This window comes from Homo sapiens, chromosome 11, assembly GCF_000001405.40.
Source record: "Homo sapiens chromosome 11, GRCh38.p14 Primary Assembly".
NCBI lineage: Eukaryota > Metazoa > Chordata > Mammalia > Primates > Hominidae > Homo > Homo sapiens.
In genome coordinates, this window is record NC_000011.10 from 116610884 (window position 1) to 116624060 (window position 13177).

The following is a 13177-nucleotide window of genomic DNA, read 5'->3' on the forward strand; positions in this document are numbered from 1 at the left end:
GAATAATCACTCCTGGCCCAGAGGCTCTGGGAAGGCTTCATGGAAAAAGAAACTTTAAGATAAGCATTGAACTATGGGTAGAATTTTGACAGGCAAGACTGAGGAAGTGGGCATCCCAAGCTGGGGAACAGAGCAAAGGAGGAGAGGTAGAAAAGCAGGGGGTGTCTGGGGTGGTGGAAATCCACTTGGCTGAGCTACAGGATGTAGGAGATACGACTAGCAAGATAAGCTGAGACCCAGTGATGGAAGGTCTTGGTTGCCAGGGGAAGTAACTTGATATTTAGAAGATAATGGGGCTCTAGGAAAGGTATTTGATTTGGGTAATGACATGATCAAAACTGAGGGAATGGCCAGGAGAGTGCACGAGGTGTGTTGGAGAAAGAGACCACTGGGCTTTACTACTCTCTAGACAGGGGTGCACGAAGCAGAAAGAGGAGCATATCAGCTGGACTTAGGTATGGTTGAACATAACAGAAACCCAAGATAGCGTCTCATGCCTAAAAGAAGTCTGGAGGAAGCCAGGCCAGGACTGATATGATGGGTCCAGATTTAACATGGACCCTGGTTCTTTTACTTTCTGTTCTACCACCCCAGTGTATGGCTTCCATTCCCAAGGTCACTTCATGGACCAAAAAAGCTGCTGGAGCTCCTGCCATCATTTCTACATCTTAGGCAGCAGGAAGAAGAAAGGGGGCAGGAGGCAAAAGTCTCCCTCTGAGTCAGCTCCATTTAAGGAACCCTCACACTTTCTCTTAGAACATTCCCTCTTACATCTCACTAACCAGAATTTAGGCACATGGCCAGCACTGGCTGCAAGGGAGGGTAGGAAACGTAGTCTTTTGGATGCACCTGCCATGCCCTGAGTACATTCAAGTTGTGTTACTAAGGAGAAAGGAGGGATGGGTATTGGAGAGGAGCTAGTAGTCTCTAGCACAGGGAATCAGAGATAATTCTGAGACTGAGTGCAGGGGCCTGAGCCAATAAATAGTCCAGAAGCAAAATTCAGGAAGTCCAATGAAAGAGGAGGTTTGGAGGTAAAGATGAAGCCTGGTTCTAAAACTAGAGAAAGACATCTGCTGCTGGGGACCCTGCTCCTCCAACAGCCAGGGAATCCCACCTCCCGCTGTATTGGAGTCAAGCTTTGGAGATAACCCCCAGCTCCGGAGGGTGAGTGGAATGAGGAAATGGGAAAGAGGACTTGGAGACCAGAACCCCTTAGCCAGGGCTGAGAGGGGAAGAGTACAGGCTCTGCCTATCACATGCGTGGAGGAGTGAAGGGTGGCACAGGCTGACATTGCACATCAGGAGACACCCGGCAATAGGAAGAGACCAGGCAAATGGGACCCTGGGCCCAGAGTCACTGATGGGTGCAGAGAATAGGAGGCTGAGGTCAGACATCCCCACACTACCTCCAGGAAGCCTTCCCTGGAGGACACTGCAGGGGCTTCCCTGGCTGAAAAGAGAGCAGATGGGACAAATTCTCCTGTCCCAGGACATCAAGCAGGACTTCCCAGCTCAGCTTCTGGTCTTAGCAATACTACAAGTGCCATCCCTGTGGGGAGAGCTGGAGACAGGGAAGGCAAGGCCTGAGTAGCTGTTCCCAATCTCCTCTCCCCACCCTCACCTCCAGCAAAGGTTGAGGGGTCCAGGGGTTGAACATCTTCTAGCAAGTGTGTTTACCTTGTGTACTAATGAGTGTCATGAAGGTCACCCTTCTTCAATTCTCATTCTTATTAAATGCTGAGTTGAGAAGGATTCTGAGGACTCCTCTTGCCTGTATGGAAAAGAACGTTATAATCAATTTGCAATGACTGCCATGGGAAAGCGTGGAAGGACAGTGAAACAGACATCAGCTAATTGCCATCCCTGGTTTAGCAGACAATATGTACTCAAAAAGTGTCTATTATATTAACGCACAAGCTCCAGGAGGCCATTTGAAGGAAGTGTTGTCCTCTCTCTGTAACTATCTCTCCCCATCCTAGAATAGAATGGTGACATATTGTTCTGTCCCAAACCACACAGGCAAGTGTCTAGACAGTATAATCTCTAGAAGGAATTTTTGGACTCTAAGTACAGGATTCTTGGTAGGCAGCTCACCTTTGCCTCTCTGGGAGGTTTCCTTCCTACAACCAAGGCTCTGATCCCTTGGGCCAGATTTCCATGCCAAGCTGGCGGACAACTGAGGACAAGAGGGATTTTCACAGCAAGGGTAGTGATAGGCCTCTGTTCCCTGAACCTCTAGATGGAGTCAGGCAAATCTTGGGGATTCATAAGAAAATCCCGACTTGTGGGGTACACCTATGCCCAGGTACAGGCCTGACAGAGCCATTAAAAGAGATGGCCAGTTTTCCCCCTCATCTCTCATAACAGATACGCAGACAGGGCCCTCAGCCCAAAGGGCACTGCTCCTCGACTTCACGGAGCTTCTCTGCACCTCTTCCCTACCCTGTCCTGGCCCAGAGCACAGCCCCTCCACCAGAGCAGGCTGGCGCACTCCTCCTTAACTCTCCTGGGCGTTGCGACGTTAGCAAGCTAACGAGAACGGATCTGACAGAGCAGGATTACCCACTCGGAGGGAGCCGGAGTGATTGTGTTTACTCCCAAACCTGGCCCTATTTAGTGGTCTGTGTGCATCATTAATCTTCTTCCACAATCCATTCCCCATCTGCTCCCACTTTTTAATGAACTGCCACTTGTCGCACTCAATAAAATCAGCACTTTGCGAGAATTTCAGCAACGATGGACAGACGGGAGAAGGCAAGAGGCAGCGGAGCAGGCGATGAGGTAGAGCCAGAGGGAAACCAGGGGGTGCTGGGCAAGGAAGCGGGATAGAGATGTCCCCGCAGGTTCAAGAACGGCGATGGATCTGCACCGGCAAGTGAATCGCAGCACGCCGGCCACTCTGGGCAACCTTGCCCCCAAGCAAGACACTAATAACCACGTCAGACTAGAGTGCCGGCTATTCTTACACTGCACCATGTCAGGCTGGGTTTGATCCGAGCCTGCTTTGCACGATTATTTTGCTGGTTGTGAATGGTGCAGGCGGCACAGGAATGGGGTTTTCCAGCCCTGGCTGCCAGCTCTGGGGATTCATCTGATACTAGGCTATTACCTTCTGATTACTTGACTTGGCAGCCAATTGACTCCAAGCTGCAAATCAACAGCAGGAAGGATGCATGGGAAAGCTGAGGCTTCACACTGCACTGCCCATCATTTGTCACCACAAAGTGTGATACAGCTTCATCTGGGGCTCCAACATGGGGAGAGGAGGGAGAGGGAATGAGAATGGGGGTCCCTCACTGTACTTGGGAATCTCAGGGATGGGGCATCACACATGGATCATCCAGTTTGAGACTTAAGGAGAAAACTGAGGGTGAAAGAGGTTAAAAGACTTTCCAAGGACACGCAGAGGCTCTCTGCCTGAGAAGTATCTGGGTAGGGCTGGAACCCAAGCAGACCCTCTGGTCTCATGAGGAGTAGGGCTGGGGGTCAGGCTCTGCCTTCTTGGGGCCCCCTCCTCTCCAGGTCAGAACCCGTGATGCCCTTCTTTGACGGCTCTGTGCTGTCTAGTTCCTGAGCAGAGGTAGACCAGGGTGGGGAGGTGCTGATGACATCTGGTGCCTCCATGTGCCCACCAAGCCTACGGCTTCCTGCTCTCTCAGTCGAGACTAAGGTACTTCTGCCTCAGGGTTTGGTCGGCCAGTCAGGGTTCCCTGTCTGAACAGCTGTCATAGGGTGAGGTGCAGACAAACAGGTCAGACATACACCCTGCCCTTATCAAACAGTTCAAGGCATCACCCTTCCCAGGACTTCAGCACCCCATCAGGATTCTTGCCAGCCTCTCCCTGAGGAATAGGATCCTGCTCCTCAGTCCCCCAACACTGCAGGACCCCACCCCCGCTCACAGACTGCCGGTTCCACTGGGCAGGTTCTTGTAGTGACCTCTTCATAGCAGTATCCCTGAATCAAAAACATTGCCTAGTGGGCACTCAATAAATGTTGATCAAACAAGCCTATCAGTGAGTAGATAAATGAATTGAATGTCCAGAACCACCTCGTTGTGTGTGTCACCTGCCTTTGGGGTCTTGGAGGCTCCTTCCTGCCCTCTTACCTCCTCGGCATCACTAAGGCTGCCTCCATGACCCTGTCCAAACTGAGTGTAAAGCAGGAGTGGGGGTGGGGGTCAAGTGGGTCTAGCCTTGAAGCTGTACCTGTCTTCTCAGCCCCCCGCCCTCCTCAGAACCACTTTCTCCCATGCCTCACCCACCAGTGTAGAAAAGCAGGGGGTGTCCAGAGTCCCGCTCCCTCAGGGCTGAGTAACTAGACATTTAAACAGGAAGATGGCTCATGCTCGCAGCGTTTGTTCTAGTCCTCAGAGATGCCCTAGCCTGGCAACAATACACAGCCCCCTTCCTGCTCCACTTGCAGCGGGAAGTGCCCCAGTCCTCCACTTGGGGCACTCTGGATTCAGAGTGTGTCCACACCAAGATTTTGCTCACACCTGTGAAAGGAGATCCCACTTAAGGCAAAGAAGCCCTTGAAAATCACAGCTGAGCAGGGATGGAGTGCAAAGTCAGAGGCCAACTTCCCATCTGCAGAAAGGGAGTGAACGTCAGGGGCCAGGAGCTCCCTCCCCATGCCCAGCCTTGTGGTCACTGCAGAAGCAAGAGAAAGAAGTGCAGGCAAGAATGTGAAAGCAAGGACATGAGAACGGGTAGAAACGGCTGCAGTAGAAACCCACATCACCTTGGGAAGGAGACCTCTACTCATGCTATCATCACCAAAGGGCAGAAAACAACAGCTCAAGCCCCAGGTAGGCCAAGTCAGTAGAGTCACAGGCAGGTGGTACTGGAGCCCAGGTAGAGGGGGAAGCAGTTGACAATGGGTACGGCAGACAAGTCAGAACTTGAGTGCCCCCTCCAACCCAAAACACACACACACACACACACACACACCCATAAAGACTAGGATTAAAACTGAAGGCAGTACCCCTGGGGGCTAGGGTCACCTAGCAGGGGGAAGGGGATGACAGTGGTTCATGGTCAATGACTGGACACTACACAGTTCTGCACACTGAGGTGTATTTAACCACTCCACCCCACCCCATACACCCTAAAGTCACCTGGAGAGGCACAAGCAGGGTCCCAGGGTCCATTTAATGCCCTTTAGTATCTGCAACAGCCAAAGTGGCAGACAACTCTGGGAAACATGCATGCACAGGGGAATTAATGAACTATTTGAGTATTTGAGAAGGGCAATTCTATTTTTAAAAAAAAAAAACCACCCTAAGAAACTATAGCAAAAAAGAGGAAGTAAAAAACTAAACAGAACAAGAATTTAAAATAACTTTATAATACTTATTATCAGAGGTAAGGGAGGATATTGGTGGCCTACAGTGGGAACACGCAGTTATAAAGCAGAAGCAATTGGAAATTCCAGTATGGAAAACATCACTGTTAGAATAAAGAATTCTGCAGATGGGTTGAATAGCAGAATAGACACAGCTAAAGAACAAACAGGTTAAGTGGAAGATGAGGTTGATGCTAAACAGTATTTTAAGAGGATAAAGAGTTGTAAAATAGAAAAGTTGAGATATGATGCATAGAAGTAAAAATATCAATCTGTGTTTAGTAAGAGTCCTAGAAGGAGAGAAAAATAAACAGAGGGAAGGAAATATTTTAAGGAATAATGAGTGACAACGACTCAGTGATGGGCAGTACATCCTTGAAAGAAAGTTGAAAGGCCTCAGATTGAAAATGTTCAAATGTACCAAACAGGATGATTTTTTTAAAACTATATTATAAAATAACTTAAGATCAAAAGCAAGAAGTAACATTTTTAAAACTTCCAAAAGAAATAGCAGATTCACCAGGCACGGTGGCTCATGCCTGTAATCCCAGCACTTTGGAAAGCTAAGGCAGGAGGATCACTTGAGCCCAGGAGTTCAAGATCAGCCTGGGCAACACAGTGAGACTCTGTCCTGCCCCCAAAAAAGCAAATAAACTACATATGAACGAGAGGCAAATCTACATCAGACTTTTCAACAGTGATCCTGAATACAAAAATAAAAGGAAATAGAGTAACATTTTCAGTGTTGCCAGGCAAAAAAACTTTAAGCCTAGGATTTTTTTAATCCAAGTAGCTTACATTTTAAAAATAAGACCAAAAATAATGGATAGTATCAGGCAGATGAGATCTCAAAATATTCTCTTTGAAAAAGTCTTGAAGGAAGTACTCTGGCAAGAAGATAAATAAATTAAGGATTGTGCTGGGAAATATATAGGTAAACCAAAAAAATGTAAGCATCAAAAACAAAAGTGAATCCACAACAATCTAGAACTAAGATTTTAAACAAATCTAACATGGTGGGACAAGGTGAGAGTCATCATGAAGGTGACAGGTCCCTGCCTCATTCAGGGGGAGAAAGTTACTTCAGAACTTAACAAGAAAAATAAATATAATTAGAGGTCTTCATAGGGCAGCCACCAGAAAAATTAAAAACAGAATGAATTACTTTTGACCAGTCAGCTTTTGTGAAGTCATGCTACAGTAACAAGCTGCCTCATCTCAGTGGCTTGCAATGGCAAAGGTCTATTTCTCATTGAGATGTTGGCTGCAGGATACATGTGTCCCATGTTTCTTCTCATTCTAGGACCCAATTAAAGGAACAGGCCTTGTCTCAGTCTGATGGCAGAGGGACAAGCGCAATGCGGGAACCACATGATGGTACTTAAGGCTACTCAGACGTCATGGACAGATCTTTTTAATTCGTATTCCACTTGCCAAGCCAATCTTTTTTTTTCCTTTTTCTTTTCTTTTTTTTTTTTTTTTTTTCTTTTGAGATGGAGTCTCGCTCTGTGGCCCAAGCTGGAGTGCAGTGGTGCAATCTCCGCTCCGCTCACTGCAAGCTTCGCCTCCCAGGTTCACGCCATTCTCCTGCCTCAGCCTCCCAGGCAGCTGGGACTACAGGCGCCTGCCACCACGCCAAGCTAATTTTTTTGTATTTTTGGTAGAGACTGGGTTTCACCGGGTTAGCCAGGATGGTCTTGATCTCCTGACCTCGTGATCCGCCCGCCTCGGCCTCCCAAAGTGCTGGGATTACAGGCGTGAGCCACCACGCCCCGCCTGCCAAGCCAATCTTAAGCCATGCATGACATTACTGAGGTAGGAAAGTATCATCAACCCACAGGGAAGTGCTGCAAGTCACAGGAAAATAGGCAGGATCGTGTCATCCTCCTGTGGGGAGGATGGAACATTCTTGAAACCAGAAAAAGAAAACAGACTCTAATTAATGAAAGTCATAAAAGAGAATGGGTAAAAAATTATGAGACATGAAATAAGATGACAGAAAGGAGTACTAAAATAAATCAAAATTATGGCAAAGATGGGAAATCATATGTATATATAATTATCTTAAAAAGCAAAACCCAGCAATATATTTTCTGTAAGAGTCATATTTAAAACAAAATCTAGATTTCAGTCTGGAGAACATGATGTAGAACTGTTTCCTTGCTCGTCCCCACCAAATGTAACTATAAACCTTGGAAATGATGCCAGAAGCAACCAAAAGAGAACTCTGAAAGGGGGTGAGAAGGCAAATTGGTCTGTGACCTAGGACTGGAGATCACAAGTAGAAGGGTATCTCATGCTCCCCCATCTAAGAGAAGGTTACCAGACCCACCATGTCTCAAACCCCAACCTAGCAAAGAAGGGAAGTAGGCTCATTCCTCCCCAACATCAAACAGAATTCCTCTGACAACAACAGGTAAGCTCAACACCAATTTGTGATTGATGGGTGCCACAGACACACCACCCCTGGGAAAGCACTGTCCTTCCCTCCTAGGCCTGAGGCTCCCCTTCTCCCTGGAGAGCCCTCCTGTGACCCAGCCCTGCAAAATTCCTTCTACCCCTCAGGCAGCATGAGCAGGGACCAAGCGGAATCCCCAGCAGCACCAGATAAACCAAATGGACCAAAACAACACAAGGAAAGTGCTGAAAATCTACCTGTCATTGGAGTGATCACCCACATATAGAGGCCAAGACCGGTGTGAGAAACCTAAACAGAGTGACCACCTGCTAAAATGAAAAAGTTTAAATAAGAACCTGCGTCTCCTACAATTCCAGGTTACAATTATTTAAAAATTACCCTTCATATCAAGAAAAATCATAACTCAAATGACAAAAAGCAATCCACAATACCAACCCTGAGATGAATGAGATGTTGGGAATATCTGACAAAACATTTTATTATTATTATTCTTTACGTTCTGGGATACATGTGCAGAATGTGCAGTTTTGTTACATAGGTATACACGTGCCATGGTGGTTTGCTGCATAATGTTATCCCTCCCCTAGTCCCCCACCCCCACAGGCCCTGGTGTGTGATGTTCCCCTCCCTGTGTCCATGTGTTCTTATTGTTCAATTCCCACTTACGAGTGAGAACATGTGGTGTTTGGTTTTCTGATCTTGTGATAGTTTGCTGAGAATGATGGTTTCTAGCTTCATCCATGTCCCTACAAAGGACATGAACTCATCATTTTTTATGGTTGCATAGTATTCTGTGGTGTATATGTGCCACATTTTCTTAATCCAGTCTATCATTGATGGACATTTGGGTTGGTTCCAAGTCTTTGCTATTGTGAATAATGCCACAATAAACATACGTGTGCATGTGTCTTTATCATAGAGTGATTTATAATCCTTTGGGTATATGCCCAGTAATGGGATTGCTGGGTCAAATGGTATATCTAGTTCTAGATCCTGGAGGAATCGCCACACTGTCTTCCACAATGGTTGAACTAATTTACACTCCCACCAACAGTGTAAAATCATTCCTATTTTTCCACAACCTCTCCAGCATCTGTTGTTTCCTGACTTTTTAATGATCACCATTCTAACTGGCGTGAGATGGTATCTCATTGTGGTTTTGATTTGCATTTCTCTGATGGCCAGTTATGATGAGCATTTTTTCATATGTCTGTTGGCTGCATAAATGTCTTCTTTTGAGAAGTGTCTGTTCATATCGTTTGCCCATTTTTTGATGGGGTTGTTTACCTTTTTCTTGTAAATTTGTTTAAGTTCTTTATAGATTCTGGATATTAGCCGTTTGTCAGATGGGTAGATTGCAAAAATTTTCTCCCATTCTGTAGGTTGCCTGTTCACTTTGAAGATAGTTTCTCTTGCTATGCAGAAGTTCTTTAGTTTAATTAGATCCCATTTGTCAATTTTGGCTTTTGTTGCCATTGCTTTTGGTGTTTTAGACATAAAGTCTTTGCCCATGCCTATGTCCTGAATGGTAATGCCCAGGTTTTCTTCTAGGATTTTTATGGTCGTAGTTCTTACATTTAAGTCTTTGATCCATCTTGAGTTGATTTACTGACAAAACAGTTTTTGTAAAATGCTTCAACAATCCATTACGCATATTTTTTTTTTTTTTTGAGATGGAGTCTCCCTCTGTCGCCCAGGCTGGAGTGCAATGGTGCAATCTCAGCTCACTACAACCCCCGCCTCATGGGTTCAAGTGATTTTCCTGCCTCAGCCTCCTGAGTAGCTGGGATTACAGGCATGCACCACCACGCCTGGCTAATTTTTGGATTTTTAGTAGAGATGGGGTTTCACCATGTTAGTCAGGCTGGTCTCGAACTCCTGACCTCAGGTGATCTGCCCCCTTTTGTTTCTCAAAGTGCTGGGATTACAGGTGTGAGCCACTGTGCCCAGCCTCAAATTTTATTGAAACAAATGAAAAAATAGAGACTCTTAGCAAAGATTGAAGCTTTACAATAAATATATTTATAGATATGTATATATATATATTAAAAGAACCAGTTGACATTATAGAACTTAAAAATATAATAATACAGACTATAACATTGAGGATTTAAAAAATATAAGAACAGGATTTTTAAAAAACTCCCCGGATGAGCTCAACAATAAATAGAGTGGAGATAACAGAAGATAAAATCAGTAGATGTGAGGACAGATAAGTAAATTTCACCCACCCAATCTAAATGACACAGAGAAAATAGACTGAAAATAAAAATGAACAGAACCTCAGGAATCTGGGAGCCAATAACAAAAGGTCTAATATTCACATCATCAGAACTGCAGAACAGGAGGAGGAGGAGAGTGAAGCTGAAAAGGCATTCAAAGAAATAATACTAAAAACTCTTCAAATGTGGTCAAAGACGCAAACCTACAGATTCAGGAATCCAAGCAAGCCCAAAACAGGACAAACACAAAGAAATCCATGTCAAGAAACATCATAATTAAACTTATGAAAATCAAAGACAAAGAAAAAATCTTGAAAGCAGCCAGAGAGAAACAATGCATTACCAATAGGAGAAAACCAATTCCAGATTACAGTGGATTTTTCATGTGAAATCGTGGAGGCTGGAAGAATGTGCATGACATTTTTGAAGTGCTGAAAGAAATGAACTATCAACTGCAAATTCTATATCCAGTGAAAATATGCTTCAGAAATGAAGGTGAAATGAAGACATTCGCAGACAAAGGAAAACTAAAATAATTTGTTGCTACCAGACCCCAGACCTACACTTAGATATTGACTGAAGAAGGTCTTTCAATGGAAAGGAAATGATAAAAGAATCTTAGAGCATCAGGAAGGAAGAACAATCAAAAGGACAGAAATATTAGTACATACAAAAAGACTATTCTTTTCTTCATGAGCTTTATGTCATATTTGATGATTGAAACAAAAAATCATAACATCATCTGATATTCAAACACCCAAAATTTGGAAAATTTATTCAAACATTTAAGGAATAATTAACACTTCTTTTACACAATATCTTCTAAAAACAGAAGAGAAGGGAAAATTTCCCAACTCATTTTTATGAGGCTAGTATTATCCTATAACATAACTAAAGATGGTACAAAAAAAGAAACCTTCAGACCAGTATCTCTCACGAAATTAGTTGAAAAAATGCTCAATAAAATAGCAAACTGAATTCAGCAATGTATATAAAGAATTATATGTCATGACTTAATGGGATTTATTCCAGCTAGATAAGGATGGTCCAACATTCAAAAGTCAGCCAGTGTAGCCCACCATATTAATAAGCTAAAGGAAAAAAGCATTTGATCACATCAATTGATGCTGAAAAAGCATTCAACAAAATCCAACACCCATTTAATATAAAAACGCTCAGCAAGTTAGAAGTAGAGGGCAATTACTCAACTTGATAACAAGCATCTACAAAACACCTACAGCTGACACCATCCTTAATGGAGAATGACTGAATGCTTTTCCCCTAAGAGCAAAACAAGACAAAGATGTCCACTATCATCATGCTTACTCAACATAATACTGGAAATTCTAACCATTGCAATTAGGCAAGAGAAAAAAAAATGGCATACAGATTTAAATGGAAGAAATAAAACTTCTATCTCTATTTACAGAAGACATGATTGTTTATGTAGAAAATCCCAAGGAATCTACAGAAGAAAAATTTCTACAACTAGTAAGTGAGTTCAGCAAAACTGATAAAAGATAAAACACACAGTCAGGCATGGTGGCTCATGCCTATAATCCCAGCACTTTGGGAGGCCAAGGCAGGCAGATCACCTGAGGTCAGGAGTTCGAGACCAGCCTGGCCAACATGGTGAAACCCCATCTCTACCAAAAATACAAAAATTAGCTGGGCATGGTGACAAGCGCCTGTAATCCCAGCTACTTGGGAGGCCGAGGCAGGAGAATTGCTTGAACCCGGGAGTTGGAGGTTGCAGTGAGCCGAGATCAAGCCATTGCACTCCAGCCTGGGTGACAAGAGAGAAATTCCGTCTCCAAAAAAATAAAAAGATAAAACTCACAAAATCAATCATATTTCTATATACTAACAATAAACATGCAGAAACAAATTAAAAGCACAATACCATTTATAATCACTCCAAAGAAAATGAAATAATTATGTGTAAGCTTATGTATAGAATCTGTATGCTGAGAATTACAAAATGCTGATGAAGTAAATCAAAGATGACCTAAATAACTGGAGAGACATACTGTGTTCATGGGGTGGGGGATGCAACATAGTAAAGATGTCAATTCTTCCAAAATTCATCTATAAGCTTAATGCAATTCCTATCAAAATCCCATCAAGGTTTTTCTAAATATAGATGTGTTAATTAGAATTCTCCAGAGCAACAGAGCTAATATAATCTCTAGTTATAATAAACCAAATATTTATTATAAAGAATTGGCTGATATGATTATGGAGGTTGAGAAGTACCAAGATCTGCAGTCAGCAAGCTAAAGACCCAGGAACGCCAACACTATTGTTCCAGTCCTAGTCCAAAGGCCTGAGAATGAGAGCCAGTGCTATAAATTCCAGTTTGAATCTGAAGGCCTGAGAATCGGGAAAGCTGATAATGTAAGTTCCAGTCTGAATCCGAGTCTGAATCTGAAGGCAGGAGAAGACTGATGTCCCAGCTTGAAGACAGTTGGCCAGAGAGAGCAAATTCTCCCTCACTAAGCTTTTTTGTTCTATTCAGGCCCTCAGTGGGTCAGATGATGTCCGCCCATACTGGTGAAGACAATCAGCCTACTGACTCAAAAGTCAATTTCATCCAGAAAAACCCTCACAGACATACCCAGAATTTTTTTTAACCAAATATGTGGGCACCCCATGGCCCAGTCAATTTGAGACGTAGAAATTAACCATCACAATAGACAAGTCTATTATAAAAATTATACAGAAAGGTACAGGCCCTTCAATAGCTAAAACAATTATGACAAAGAAGAATAAAGTAGGAGAAATCACTACCTGATATTAAGGCTTTGTATACAAGTATAGCCATAGTAATCAAGACAATGTAGTATTGGCATAAGAATAAAGACATAGATCAATGAGAGATCCCAGAAATAGACATACACAAATATGCTCAACTGATTTTTGACAAAGGTGAAAAACAATTCTATGGAGGAGGAATAGTCATCTCAACAAATGATACTGGAGCAATTGGACATCTACAAGCCAAAAACTGAAACTTGACCATAAAAAATTAACTCGAGGCTAGGCATGGTGGCTCACGCCTGTAATCCCAGCACTTTGGGAGGCCGAGACAGGTGGATCACTTGAGGTCAGGAGTTTGAGACCAGCCTGGCCAACATGGTGAAACCCTGTCCCTGATAAAAATACAGAAATTAGCCAGGCGTGGTGG